The sequence below is a fragment of the Homo sapiens genome, chromosome 5 (assembly GCF_000001405.40).
Source record: "Homo sapiens chromosome 5, GRCh38.p14 Primary Assembly".
Taxonomy (NCBI): domain Eukaryota; kingdom Metazoa; phylum Chordata; class Mammalia; order Primates; family Hominidae; genus Homo; species Homo sapiens.
In genome coordinates, this window is record NC_000005.10 from 74064629 (window position 1) to 74079564 (window position 14936).

Below are 14936 nucleotides of genomic sequence, written 5' to 3' on the forward strand. Positions count from 1 at the left end.
GTGACCACTTGCAATTTTCATTTGCTTAAAATTTAAAACAGAAGTAGAGTGCAAACTGCAAGGTTTTATGTTTCTGTTTAGATATGTAAAAAATTTTATTCCTGCATGAATATATTTGAGTGACATTTTAAAAATTGAACTTTGTTCAATTAACTGGTCATTTAAACTTAAGAATGAATCAGTAAAATAATGATCATCACTGATTACTACATGAATGCTACTGAAAATAATTTTGTTATATAGAAGAAAAGAATGCTAAAAATTATCTACTTCAAGTGTTAAATACTCTAGATACACCACTATCCAGTGGGTATATAAAATGATACGATCACGTTTAAAAAGGTTTGAAGATTTCTTTAAACATACATCTACCTACCCTTGGCCCAGTAATTCTATTCCTAGGTTTTTATCCAAGAGAAATGAAAACAGGTCTACAAAAGTTTGTGCAAGAATGAACATAGCTTTACTCACAATAGCAAAAAACTGGAAGCAACCCAAATGTTCAATAACTGGAGAATGGCTAAACAAATTGTAGTAGCCATAAATGAAATGCTTTTCATCAATAAAAGAATAAACCACTGAAATATGCAATGTGACTAAATCTCAGCCATTATTAGGCTAAGTGAAAGAATACAGAAAAGAGAGATAAGTACGGGGATATTCATTATTCATTAAGCTATTCTGTTTTCTTTGTATATTTAAAAAAATTCCCATATTGAAAATTAAAACATGTATATAAAACAACAGTGCATGAATATGTGTTTTACAAGAGCACATATAAAGAAAAGTATAGATATCAAGTACGTTAAAATTGTTGCTTATGGGGGAAGTAGGAGATTTAAGTGTGGGAAGATGGAGGTACTACAGAACAAAATAGTAAAATGAGATTCTCCTTAAACAAAACAACAATAGCGTGTGGTGAACTATGGAGGAAGATGATCCCAGTCCTCTAAACCCAATGTCTCTCCTCCTGCAACCACCCCCCCCAAAAAAATAGTGGGGTATTTATCTTAAAATAGGTTAAATATATATCATAGAGCTATAACTGTTAAAGCAGTATGGCATTGATTCAAAATTAGAGCTATAGATCAATGACTGACAAGAGATAGTTCAAAAACAGGCCCCAGTATACTCCAGAATTTAATATTTGACAAAGGTGCCATCTTCAATCAATTGGGGAGGAAGTGGTCCTGGAATAACTGAATGGCTATTGTGGGGAGGGTGGCCAAATTTAGAGACTCAGCTCATATCAAATACAAAGAAATATATTATACTTTTCAAACATCTGGATTGCCATATTTAAAAGTGATAGAAAAATAAGAAAATATTACAGATTTTCTTGCAAAAAAGGTTAAAATATCTTCATGTCAAAAACAGCATAAAGAGAACTAATTTGAATACAATAAACTGAAAGAAATATTTGGAGCTTTAAACAAATTTAGAGGGGTCACACAATTTGATAGTCAAAACACCAACATTCCAAAAACCAATAGGTAAAGGAAATGGAACAGAAAACTCGCAAAGGAGGAAAAACGATTGGAAAGCTCAGTAGTAATAAAATAAATGGAACTTAAAACAAGTGTTACCATTTTTTAATTTATTAAATTCACTTTTATAAATAAGAATATTAAAAGAGCACAGTAAGGTGGGCATTTCCCTGCCCCACTCTAAGTGAAGATTAGCAGCCCAATTTTATAAGATAATTTTACATATAAGTAAGAAGAAATAAAAGGAAATACATAAATAAAACATCGTACCATGCTCTCTTCTTTTTCTCATTATTCAATTTGTAGCAACTCTAAGGAAACAACCCAAACTGTAGTAAAGTTTCTATGTGTAACAAGTACATTGTAGTTACAACCTAAATATCTGTCAATAAAGAAGTATGGATATAAATTTGTTCACCCTATGATAAGATATTATGTAGCTGTTAAATTTCATGAATACTTTTAAAATTAAAATTTGATAAATACACGTATTTTAAAAATTCAATTGTATTCAAAGTCTCATAGCAAACCTCAGCAACTTCATGCTCCATCCTTCCTCCCTCCCAGTTTATGCCACCCCCAGAGGCAGACATTTACAACTCTCCTGAGTCTCTACTATCAGAAACATTCATATTTCTAAACCAAGAGTGCCTTCTCTTGGTTTGTTAATCTGAGGCTTAATTCTTGTCTTCCTATTATGCTAAACAAAGATTTAGCTCTCTTTAATCTTTTTTCCCATGACATCCCCTTAATTCTCTGAATAATTATGTCACAATTATTCATTTAAGTAAAAGATAATGTTTACATTATTACTGTGTAAATATTGTTTGTTAGTAAACCAAATAAGAAAGGTTTACATTTCCTTATTTGTGGAATGTTTTTCTAATTATTGCATTGACATTATTTTGCTAAATTTTCTATGTGCCTGTTGATATACTTAAAAAATGAAATTCTAGGCCGAGCCTGGTAGCTTATGCCTGTAATGCCAGCATTTTGGGAGGCCCAGGTGGGAGGATCTCTTAAGGTCAGGAGTTGGAGACTAGCCTAGGCAACATAGTGAGACCACATCTTTACATAAAATTGTTAAAAATTAGCCAGGCATGGTGGTGTAGTCTAGCTACACCACCAGACTAAGGCCTGTAGTCTTAGCTGCTTGGAGCACTGGGGCTAGAGGAGTGCTGGAGCCCAGGAGTTCAAGGCTGCAGTGTGTAATGATTGTGCCACTGCACTTCACCTTGGATGATAGAGCAAGATCTCATCTCTTAAACAACAACAACAACAAAAAACAGATCTTAATTATCTTCCAAACAGCCCAAATATTAGATACCAGTTCATTTTTCCCTGGGAGACCCCTTCCCTGTCACCCTGTCCTTCACCTGCCTGCTCTGTGCCCAGGGCCCTCTCAGCCTGAGGGGCAGCTGTCCACCTGGCACTTCCCTTTGCCAGGGCCTCGTGTTAGGTCCCTTAGAGATCCCATTTTCTTTTTTCTCGATTAGTCCTTCACATTGGTAAAGAACAACCTCTAGCAGTTCCTAAGAAAGGGTGCATGGAAGGTAAGTATTTGGAAGCAATGTGTGTCTAAAAATGTTTATTCCATTCTCATGGTTATAGAATATGTAGAAAATAATTTCTTCTCAGAATTTTGAAATCCTTCCTCAATATAGTCTACCTCCCGATATTGATGTTGTGAAATTTGGTGTAAATATCATTCCTGATCTGTTCTGATCTGTTCCCCTTCTCCATGGGTGCTTTTTTCTTTTCGTTCCCAGTGTTCTCAAGTTTCATAACAATATTTTTGGCCTGGGTGTGTTTGCCTTCATTGTGCTGGAAATTTTATGAGCCTCTTAAATCTGGTGACTCATTTTTTTCATTACTTCTTTAAAAATTTCCCCCCGTTTTCCTGTTTTTCCTGGAAGTTTACTTAGTTAAGCATTGGACTTATTTGATGCTCTAACTTTCTTGTCTTTTCTCTGTCCTCTACTTATTTGCCTTTTAATTCTACTTTCTGGGAGAGTCTCCTGACTTTATGGTAGAATGCTTCTGTTGAATTTCACATTCAGCCTTCATGTTTCTGATTTCCAAGACCTTCTGTTCTTGATTGCTCTTATCCCTTACTTCCTTACACCTTACTTCCTATTTGTGTTTGCAGATGCCATATCTTCTCAAAGTGAAAAAATATATTTGCATTTAAACTGCTAGGCTTGGAAGTGACACCAATCACTCTGCTCACATTCCAGTGGGAAGAACCAGTCATTATGGCCTCACCTAGATGTAGGAGGTTGGACAATGTACTCTAGTGGAGTGTCCAGGAAGAGAGAACATTAGCAGCGTCTTCCACAGAGGATTTCCCTGGTTAGATTACCTTTGGTTTTCTGTTCATTTTTAAGAGCTAACTACTAAAAACTTTGTTGAAAGCCCCGTGTGTATATGCTAGACATGTCATTCCTTAACTGGAGATTACGTGGTAACAAGATGGCTTTTTTTGTTGTTGGGGGACCCTCAAATATCAGTATCTGAAGTTTTTTTCTCCAGGGACATTTTTTATTTGTTTTTGCAGGGGGCTGGGGAGTATATATTTAGTTGTTAGCGTTTCGAAGCAGAAGGAACAGAGCTAGGGAGGGTTTGTCTAATTCATACCTAAAATTTCACTTAATTCTTCTGAATTTATGTCCAGGTTTCTTTCTCCTCCTCCCCTTCTGTGTTTGGTTTCTCTGAGTCCAGATTTTCTCTGGTTCAATTTATTTAGAGACTAAACTTCAGGTTTCCTGCGGGAGAGGAGGGGGCTGAGAATCCAGCTAGTTCCACGTTAAGACATGAACCAATCCTCCTGCATTTGGTTCTGCATCTCATTCCACCCCTCAGTAATACCTGCTGCCACCAAGTCCTGGGCCTTCCTGAGTTCTGTAGGGTGAAATAGTCATTCTTGGCCTATCTATCACTGCAGACCTTGGGGTTGTGGCCTCTGCTCTGAAAAATCATAACATTGCTTCTCCATGAGCTCCTAAAAAATTATTGCAGAGTCTTACTTGCTCTTGTCTTTCTCTCATTCTTTGTCCCTGTAATTGTATATGTTTTAAACTCCTTTACTCTCATCTTAAATGGATTTTAGAAAGGAGAAGATATGAACAAATGTGGTCAATATGTCATATCCAATGAGAAGCTTGTAAGTAATTTCATAATCCTCAGTATAAAAAAGACATACAAACTGTATAAATAGTGCGATCCCAAGCAGGTTAAAATGTATAGAAAAAATATAGGAAGGAATACATAAAATGTGAATTTTTTATTACTTATGTCTGACTGATGGAATAATAGTAATTTTTAGTTTTCCTTAAATCTTTATTTATTGATTTATTTTATTGATTTTTTTTCTTTTTTGAGATGGAGTCTCACTCTGTTGCCCAGGCTGGAGTGCAGTGGCACAATCTCTGCTTGCTGTAACCTCTGCCTCCTGGGTTCATGCGATTCTCCTGCCTCAGCCTCCTGTGTAGCTGGGACTACAGGCGTGTGCCACCACGCTCGGATAATTTTTTGTACTTTTAGTAGAGACAGGGTTTCAACCGTGTTAGCCAGGATGGTCTCAATCTCCTGACCTCGTGATCTGCCCGGCTGGGCCTCCAAAAGTGCTGGGATTACAAGCGTGAGCCACCATGCACGGCCATCTCAACTCTTTTATTTCTAAGTATTCTTGCTGAGCATGATTGACTTTACTATTACTATTATTTTTGAGACAAGGTCTGGTTCTGTCACCCAGGCTGGAGTGCAGTGGTGCAATCTTAGCTTACTGCAGCCTCAAACTCCTGGGCTTAAGTGATCCTCAGCTAAGCCTCCTGAGTAACTGGGACAACAAGCGTACACTCATGCTGGCTAACTTAAAAAAAATTTTACAGAAACAAGGTCTCGCTGTGTTGCCCAAGCTGGTCTCAAACTCCTGGCCTCAAGGCATGCTCCTGCCTCAGCCTCCCAAGTCACTGGGATTAGAGATGCAAGCCACCATGCCCAGCTTGAGTATGACTTACTTTTGTAATCAAAATAAACTAAATATTTTTTAAAAATACTCTTTAAAGTAGAGAAAATATTAAGAGGCAATTAGGAGATTATCTCAGTTGGAAGTGTTTTTCTCTAGGCATAGCATGTACAATTGAAATGGATCTTGTGGATTCTATCACCAATGGATAAGTAGACACACATAATGCTAACATTGTATGTTTGCTGTGTGTCAAACACTTTACTCAGTATTTCATTTAATGGTTATAATGATTCCAGAGGTAGGCATTATTTTCTTCCCCATTTATAGATGAGGAAACTAAGGCGCAGATGTAGGAAGTACATGGTCCCATGCTGGTATATGAAGAGCCAGGTTTTGGACCTACTAAGTTTAATTCTAAGGAGACACCCTTAATCATTATATTATAGTCTCTTACCACATTTGTATGTGTTTGCATATGTTCTTAGCTAATTCTTTAAAATAATTGTGCTTATATCTATACATATATTTGTTTAGTGAAGAATATGCATAGGCTCTTGAACAAGTTATAAAGTGAGGACAAGAATAGAGGTCAGTAGGGCATCTCTCTGAGAACTGTGATAATATATACCAGAGGTGGCTACACAACTACCTGATTCGGAATCCTCATCTCTTTTTCTTTCCTCTGTACTTTTCCATACCAATAAATAGTCTCCCACCCTTGGCACAGGGGAGCACTGGGCTTCTGAGTGCATTCAGAAAACAAGCAACACTTACACCTGTTTAGCCTCATGTTTCCTAACAGCTTTAGAAGTACAATATGGCCCTAGGTCTTTGTTTCAGTACAGTAGGTGGAGGGGGCTTCTTGCCAGCCAGAAAGCGTTAAAAGTTCATGGCAGCTGCCTAGAAACCACTGCAATGTTTCCCATAAGAGATGAATAAGCTAGTTTAGACTCCCATGTATTTCCAGGAATGTAGGAGTGTTCGATCTATTGTTCTTTCCATTCTATTGTTTCAGAGCTCTAATTAAATAATGCCACATATAAGATTCCCCAACGCCCTAAGAAAATATATAATTTGAATTATTTGGGACGGCCTAATTGTTTTTTTCTCCCCCCCCCGCCCCCCCAAGACAGGGTCTCGCTTTGTCACTCAGGCTGGAGTGCCGTGACACGATCATAGCTCACTGCAGCATCTGACTCCTGGGCTCAAGCAATCCTCTCACCTCAGCCTCTTGAGTAGCTGGGACTACAGCCATGTGACACCACGCCTGGCTTATATTAACTTTTTGTAGAGATGGGGATCTCATTATGTTTGCCCAGGCTGGTCTTGAATTCCAGGCCTCAAGTGATCCCCCGGCCTTGGCCTCCCAAAGCACTGGGATTACAGGTGCGAGATACCACATCCTGCCCTAACTTTCTCTAAAAAGTTTTTAAGACTTTCTTATTTGTAGGCAGTAACTCCTGGTATATAGATGATATTCCAAATACGAATGTATTCCTGATGGTCACCTTGGGGCCACATGCTTGGTTCTAACTGGCAAAGATTTATCATTATGTACAGTTTTTGTCCATATATTTTTCCTTTGCTTTGTGAAATAGGGTATGCTCTCAGACTAATTCTTTTTTCCCTTTATATAAGAACATTGTTGAGATTCACATGCCATACAATTTTCCCACTTAAAGTGTACAATTCAGTGCTTTTTAGCATATTCAGAGTTGTGTGACCATCCCCACAATCAATTTTAGAACATTTTCATTACTTTAAAAAGAAACGCCAGAGCAAAGCAAGTGCTGTGATCATACTTTCTAAGAACATTCTCCAGTCAAAAGATCCAGGGGTCCTTAGAAAAATGGGTGATTTTAGGACTGGGGCAGGAAATATGTGAGATTGAGCCTGGGGCATCTTGTAGTACCAGAAAGAACAGAAGTGCTTAATAAAACAAACAAACAACAACAAAACTTACTAAACCCTACATTCACAGAGGCATATCACAGGGATCCAGGAGCCAACTGAAACAGCTCCCAAAGGCCAAAGCTGGAAAAATTAGAGCAATAAAATAAAGCAGTGTTGGATCATAATACAAAGTATTAAATATCCACGAGTCCATACTGATATAAATGACTGAATAAGTGGGGCAGAAAAGACAAATTACCCTTACAAAAGAATTTTCCATAATTTATACTTTTAAAGTTATCTCTTTATTAATATTCTCTATTTGATGAGACATTGTCATACCTACATTTACTTTTAAAAGCATGGTTTCCTGTAGTGTATTGAAGCCTTTCTTCTGTTAAATTCAACATCTCCCTCTCACAGGCAGTTTCTGTTGCTTGCTTTGCTCCCTGTGTATGGTTCATACTTTTTTTTCTCCATGTCTCAAATTTTTGATGAAAATTGGACATTTTAGGTAATATACTGTAGCAACTTTGGATACTAATCTCCTTCCCTTCTTTGGGGCTTGTTTTTGATGTTGTCTGCTTATTTCTTTGGCTGGTCCATTTTAGTGAAATCTATTTCCCGCTAAATGTGAAGCTTATAATGTTATTTCTTAGAGGGTAGAGACTTGGTCACACATAGGGTAAGCCTAGGATGACAGTAGGTTAAGCAGGGCTCTGTCTTTTTTCCTGATCTGTGAAAATATCTGTTTTATTTGGTATCCCACTCAGCTGACAGTTTCTTCTAGTTGCTGGCTAACTGCACTATTGTTTTTGAGCATGCCTGGGACATAAATTGCCCCACAGTCTGATCCTATTATTAGTATATCTAGTCCCCTTGGGACAGTTTTAAGGTTTGTTCTAACCCTAGGAGGGCTTTGCTTAACTACCTCTTTCCCTTCTTCTCTCTGGTAAACTTAGGCCTACAGTTTAGTTGGCTGCTCTCATAGAGCTACCAACTGGTTTTTAATTGCTTGCCACCAAAATATCGATTGTTTTCCCAAGTTCAATCCTTAGGCTTGAACTTCTCACTCTGCTTCAAATAAACTCAGTTTCTTTGGGGAGAACTTCAGAGGTGTCTGTTTTTGTGGTCTCCCTTATCTCTTGGGTAAAATCTCTGAGCTCTCTGAACTCTCTGAGCTACTGCTCCAGAAATAGGATGAGGGTGATACCCCTGCCTTATAAGCAGAGTGTGGGTCAGGGGCAGGGGCAGTGGCCTCTAGTCTTCTTAGCTTGCCCTTCCCAGCATGGAATCTCCATCCTATGAGCAAGCTGAAGCCAGAGAAATTAGGGCTCCAGTATCCTTGGATTGCCATGCCTGAAGCAGAACCTCTGCCTTATGAGTGGGGGTTGTGGGAAGGAAGAGAGCAAATTCTTGGCTGTATTTACCAGAAATTTAATCTCTAACTTGGAGCTAAAAGAGATAAGAAATGCTGGTGGCTACTGCCTCTTGGTGAAATACTGTATCCCTTGAGTTGGAGCTGAGGGAGAAGGGAGCTGTTTCTTCTTGGCTACACCCACCCAGAGTGGAGCTTAGAGAGTGGACTTGTGGCTGAAGTGCCGCAGACTCTTGTTTAATGTTTCTTAATTTGCTGTGTGACCTGACGACAATTTCCAGAGAGTTTAAATGGTTGCTTTAAAAATAGTTTTCACTAGTTCAGGTTGTTTTGCTAGGGTATGGTTCCACGGAGCTTCTCACTCCACCATCCTCAAAGTGGAACTCATTTTATTTTCTTGCTCTTAGTCTAAAGCATAGCTTATTTTCATGAACTTTGTTGTTTGTCTACCTGATATGAATCGAGATTTTCTAGAGATCAGTCTCTCAGGAGAGTGAAATGCGGCAAACTTCCCAACAGAGACAAGTGGAAGGAAATGTGAGTTTTGGCTGGGCCATGTCTACCCAGGTCGTTCTGATTTATCTGCACAACATCCCCAATGTGCCATGGTCAGTGATTCCGATACAGACAGGAGGCAGGGAAATACCTGGGTAGAAGAGGGCAGTTCCCTGGCAAAGACCCACCCTTAAGCCTGGAAACTGTGGCACTAAATTAGAACAGTTATCCCTGTTTTCCCACCCAAAAGTTGCTTTTTCCAAAACCACCCTAGTCTGCCACACCGCGATCCTGTACCCATAAAAACCCCAAACTCCACTGGCAAAGGAGCAGTGTGGTGTGGCAGAGAAGGAGAGAAGACGTGTCTGAATGTCAAGAGGAATTTGGCTGGGGACAGTTGGAGAGGAATTCGGCTGGGGACAGCTGAACTCCAGGGGAAGATTATCTTTCCACTCCATCTTCTTTCCAAATCCCTATCCTGCCGAGAGCCACACCTCCATCACTCAAAATCTTCGTATCCTTCAAGTCCATGTGACCTGATTCTTCCTGAATGCTGGACAAGAACCTGGGTACCAAGAGGGCAGGGTATAAACGGCTGTCACCCTGACTCTTCATTGAGCTGGTTAACACTTAGCTCTCTGTGGACAGTAACTGCTAAAGGAACATTAATTGTAACATACCCCTAGAGGCTGCCATGGGGCCAGAGCCTAAAAGCACTTGCCCCAGCTCCTGCACCCACTCACTTGCATCCTCCCCTTCCCACAAGGGGTTTGAGAGAAGGGTGGCTGGGTAAATGAGCCACACCCCTGCTGCAAGTCCTGTGAGGGGTTCAAGGGAACTCTCCCGTCTCAATTGGATCTCCAAGGAATGAGGAGTAGTAAGGCAGGGAATTCAGTGACATAAACCCATTGGCCTGAGGCCACACATCAAAGAGCCCTCCTCTACTCCCTCAAAATTAGCCAAACAAAAAATCCAGTTGAATCCTCTGTCACAAACTGTAAAACATGGGATGATTTTATGTAGTACAGGACTTTTTTATTGCTTATTTATAGGTTTACTAGAAGAATAGAACTTATAAAATATATACATAGATTTATATAGAGAGTGCTTCTTAGCATATAGAAACGTTAAAAATCCATGACAGGTGGCAATAATTTCATGGTTTCCCTTTTAAAAACAAACCAACCAACTGGTTTAGAGTCCTGTATATGTGCAGGAGTGTAGAATGTGACACTGTGGTTCCATTTTATGGTTTCAGTGCTCTAATTGAAAAGTGTCACATCCATACTTTATTATTCTCCAAACATCTAAAAGAGTAGAGATTGCAAATTTGAAAGATGACATGCACAAACTCATACACACACATACAAAGCCCATTAAAATTGTAATTCCACAATACTGTTGCTGCAACAAGGCTAAAGTAGCTATTTTCTTTCTTCAAAGTAAGTCCATTTAAAAGTGATCCAGAGACATATCAAGAAGTGTAAAGGTGGTATGAAAATGATTGGATTTTGAAAAAAGGTATAAATGTCAAGTAAGAATTTTACATACCAAATCTGTTTAGATAAAAAAATTAATCAAATTGGTTGTTTGACTACGAGCATAAGAAGGAGTATTCAGAATTCTTTCTCCTAATTAGTTACACTGGACAGCTTAAAAAATAGGGGCCTCAAACAGACAAAAGGGGAAAATAATGGTTCCTCTTCTTCCACCCACACAGCTTTCTCATTTGTAGCTTCAGGTACATCTAATCTTTTCCTTTTCCTTCTTGTTAAGGCACTATCAGGATTAGCTTGAATGAGCAGACGGCCTCAGTTAACTTAAAAGCGGAGCATCTGCAGGCCCCTGCTGAATTATACAGTCAGCAGGACAGAGGTTAATTAGGAGCCGACCAGCAGAGTCACAGTTCAGATGGACCTGAAGCTTCCAGTCAACTGCTGATAATAGCATAATTTCCAAGTTTAAGAGCAATACTTCCAGGGAAGGCTTGTGATCGCTTTTCGGGGCCAGTTATTACCTAGACCATTTATGTATATAAACTCAAAGCATTGTTTTGTTTTGTTTTCATCTCTTTTGTTTCAAAGTGTTGCTCCTAAAGTTGTTTTAAGATTTATAAATTTGTCAGATCAGGCTGTGATAGAAATAGTTGTTATTTCAGCCCTAGACATCTTAGGGCTGCCTCGTGCACGATTTCCCCATGACATAGATTTAACATTTGTATTTCACACTGCTGATGTGTTTCTTCTTAGTCAATCTTGCCCCCTCTTCCTGCCCTTCTGAGAGAGGATCAAGTTTCAGGGAAATGGACACACTCAGCACAATCCCCCCACCTCCTGCATTAAAAGAAAAAAAGATTTTTCTGAAAACCAAGCTTAAGCAAACATCAGGAACTTACTTCTCCCCCAACCTTCCATTTAATGCCAACTGTCCTTATTCACTTTTATCTTGCTTAACCAGTTTTGCCAGTGAACTTCTAAGTGACAGCATTCACCAACATGAGTTTTCTCTTTCTTGCCTCTTGTTGCCTTTGTTAGAACAGCTTAAGAATTAGGCACAATAAGGACACAGAATGGAGAAATCAAAGAAACAATGGGTCTGGAAATTTCTTGAGAAGAAAGGATTGACCACAATTATCATGAGATATACTTGTGGTAATAATCTATCACATGTAGGATGCATCCTATGGGCTGCCTCAGATTCTCCTGGCTTCACCTGTCCCCTGGGCCAGCAGCTGAGAGGAAGGATTCTATGTAGAACCTCATGGTTCCCCCTGTGTTGTCTTCAGCTCTTCCCTCACTTCTGATCTCATAAAAGGCCACTTCTTATGGTACAGGGTCTGCTTCCCCCAGAGGTCTGCTGCCAAAAGGGGCCAGGTGACCAACCCAGAACTACAAGAGGATTAACTTCCATGGGGTTCATTTTGGTAAATGGGAATGAGGAGACAAGAGGGAATCGGCAGGCTTTCTCTCCATTTGTCCCTCTGATGCATTGTTCTGAGGTATGGTTTTCCATACAAGCTTGTCCAGAGACATCCTGCACCTATCAAACAACTGGCTTTGTCACTTTGTGCCTTATTGTGACACAGTGGCCAAAGCCATCACTCACACATCCTTGCATTGGCTTCTTGTTTCCATTCTTTACTTCCCTTCCTCTCTGATATGGTCACACTTTGTGTCCCCACCCAAATCTTTTCTTGAATTGTAATCCCCAGGTATTGAGGGAGGGACCTGGTGGGAGGTGGTTGGATCATAGGAGCAGTTTCCCCCATGCTGTTCTTGTGATAGGGAGTGAGTTCTCATAACAGCTGATGGTTTTATAAGGGGCTCTTCTCCCTTTGCTCACTCTCTCTCCTGTTGCCACGTAAGACAGCCCTGCTTCCTCTTCCACCATGATTGTAAGTTTCCTGAGGCCTCCCCAGCCACACAGAACTGTGAGTCAGTTAAATCTCTTTTGAGTCAATTAAACCTCTTTTCTTTGTCAATTACCCAGTCTCAGGCAGTTCTTTATAGCAGTGTGAAAAAAGACTAACACACTCTTACTCTTGCTTTCCTGTGATAATACTTCCTACAAAGCACTCAACTTTTGCTTAGGCTTGTCCCTCTCCTTCCCCCAGGGAATCCCTGTTAAAATATATCCTGAAATTTCCTAGACAATTCCAAGTCATAGTTCTTTTTATCTCTATAGATGTTTTTGTTTGCTGAAGTATGTAATACAAGCTTGTCCAACATATGGCCCATGGCCCAGGACAGCTTTGAATGTGGCCCAACACAAATTCATAAACTTTCTTAAAACATTAGGAGTTTTTTTTGTTTGCTTTTGTTTTTTAGCTCATTAGCTATTATTAGTGTATTTTATGTGTGGCCCAAGACAATTCTTTCAATATGGCTCAGGAAAGGCAAGAGATTGGATACCCCTGATGTAATCCCTTCTCCTCCCCACTTCCCTTAGAAAATCCCAGAAATGGGATGTAGAAGACAGTAGTGGTCCTTTAATTCAAATCTTAAATTTCTGTCTTTGCTGCCTTGAGTTTAATTCATTTCCATCCCCTGCTTTTGTGTTTTCTTTCTTCTCTGTCTGGCAAAATTAGACTTATCCTTCAAAGCCCAGGTAAATGTAATCTACTGAGTGAAGGCTTGCTTACCACATCTGCCCATGCCTCCCATGGGAGTCTGTGCCATCTCAAGCCTGGCATCACAGAGCCTACATCTGTGCTTCCTAGAGTCCTGGCATTGTGTTTTTGTTGGTTGGAGCCAACCTGACCATGAGTTGCCGCTTCCTCATCGAGTCATACTCATTGTGTTTTTTTTAGATCTCCAGAACTAGCCCATAGAAGATTTCAAGTACTGTTTGCTAAATGAAGGTGATCTGGGTTCTCCTTTTTGCATCCCTCATTGTTGCATCTACCCCAGTCCAAATAGGCCTCCTCACCCTGGCCAGGACAGTGACCATGGCCATGGCCTCACTGCTGTCAGTCTCCTTCAGACAATGCAACCTGCATAAAACCACCAGGCTGCTCTTTTTAAAAATTGCATCCTCTCACCACTAGACCCCAAGGGCCTATAGGAAAGAGGCAGTACAGCAGAGAAAGAATGTAAATGCACAAAGCATAGACAGCAATAACACTTACATATTAGGTACATCGTATCTGACATCAGTGCCTCTGTCTGGTGCACAAGCTCCTGTTCAGCCTAACTCCTGTGCTCTGCTACCCCATACAAACTCTCTATTTTGGTCAGGCTTGGCTCCTTATCCCCTGCCTAAGCCTACCCAACTGTCCCCTCCATTGGAACAACTCTTACCTCCTCTGTACCTGTCCAAATCCTGTCCATCTCTCAATCTCTCATCCTCATAGATGCTTGAGGAGTTGATGTAACCAGGGAGATGCTCCCCTATCTCAACTTTTATGGCAAGGATGTACCACCCAGTTTCTCTGCCTTGAGATCTGACTGCCTTAGCCTTTTCCCATTTTTTTCTTCAATAAGACTAAGCTCTCCAAGAGCAGGACTATGTTTGATACTTCATTAATCTTCCTAGTGCCCAGGCAAGTAAAGATTCAACAAATATTAGTTGACTGATTCATAGCAATAGAAATTAGCCTAACCAAACCTGGCAGAAGATGTTAATGACAAACTACAGCCTATAATTTAGAGGTTATTGTTAGATTTTAAATTTTTTAAAAAGGCATTTTCTGTTATTTTCACTTACGTCAGCATCTAAGGAGAAAAATATGACATAATTTTCTGTATGTCTAGGAAGAGAAATATACTATATGTTATACTAGTTCATTAAAGCATTCTTCCACTCTCTTTCATAACATATGCTATGAATCTTCATAGCAGTCAGGGTACATTTTTTTTCCAATTAATTTTTCTTTTTTGCTTTACTGGCAGTCAGTTTTACTAATAGTCATTTTTCTAAGTCAAATGCTTTAATTAAAGTTGGAATGAAAAATCTGATTAAAATCTAAATTGGCTCAAGGAGCTGTGATCTTTTGGTCTGCTCTTTGCTGTTATATAATTTATGCCCCAAATAGTTACATTAGGACTTTCAGTACATTGTTCTTACCTAAGGCATTTAGAAAGGTCTGGAGCTTTGAGCCAAATAATCCTAATTTAGAAGTTATTGCATACCCAACGTCAAGAATTTCAAGACTAGCGATAGGTTAAGGAGTGAATTTCTAGAATGATTTCATTTTTCAGCAATTCCGAAAGAC

The 14936-nt window shown here is 39.6% G+C and overlaps 1 long non-coding RNA gene across 1 annotated transcript in view, besides 1 other annotated feature; it reads right to left on the reverse strand.

Annotated features, from left to right (window-relative positions):
• The window catches only part of LINC02122 (long intergenic non-protein coding RNA 2122), a 68866-nt gene that overhangs the window by 30366 nt on the left and 23564 nt on the right, over positions 1-14936 (reverse strand). The window lies entirely within an intron of this gene.
• Positions 5224-5724: an enhancer, noted in NCBI's record as "H3K27ac hESC enhancer chr5:73365677-73366177 (GRCh37/hg19 assembly coordinates)". NCBI's record gives its function as "activates a minimal SCP1, AML or CMV promoter by ChIP-STARR-seq in primed H9 embryonic stem cells {active_cell/tissue: H9 hESC(primed)}" and the evidence as "EXISTENCE:reporter gene assay evidence [ECO:0000049][PMID:30033119]".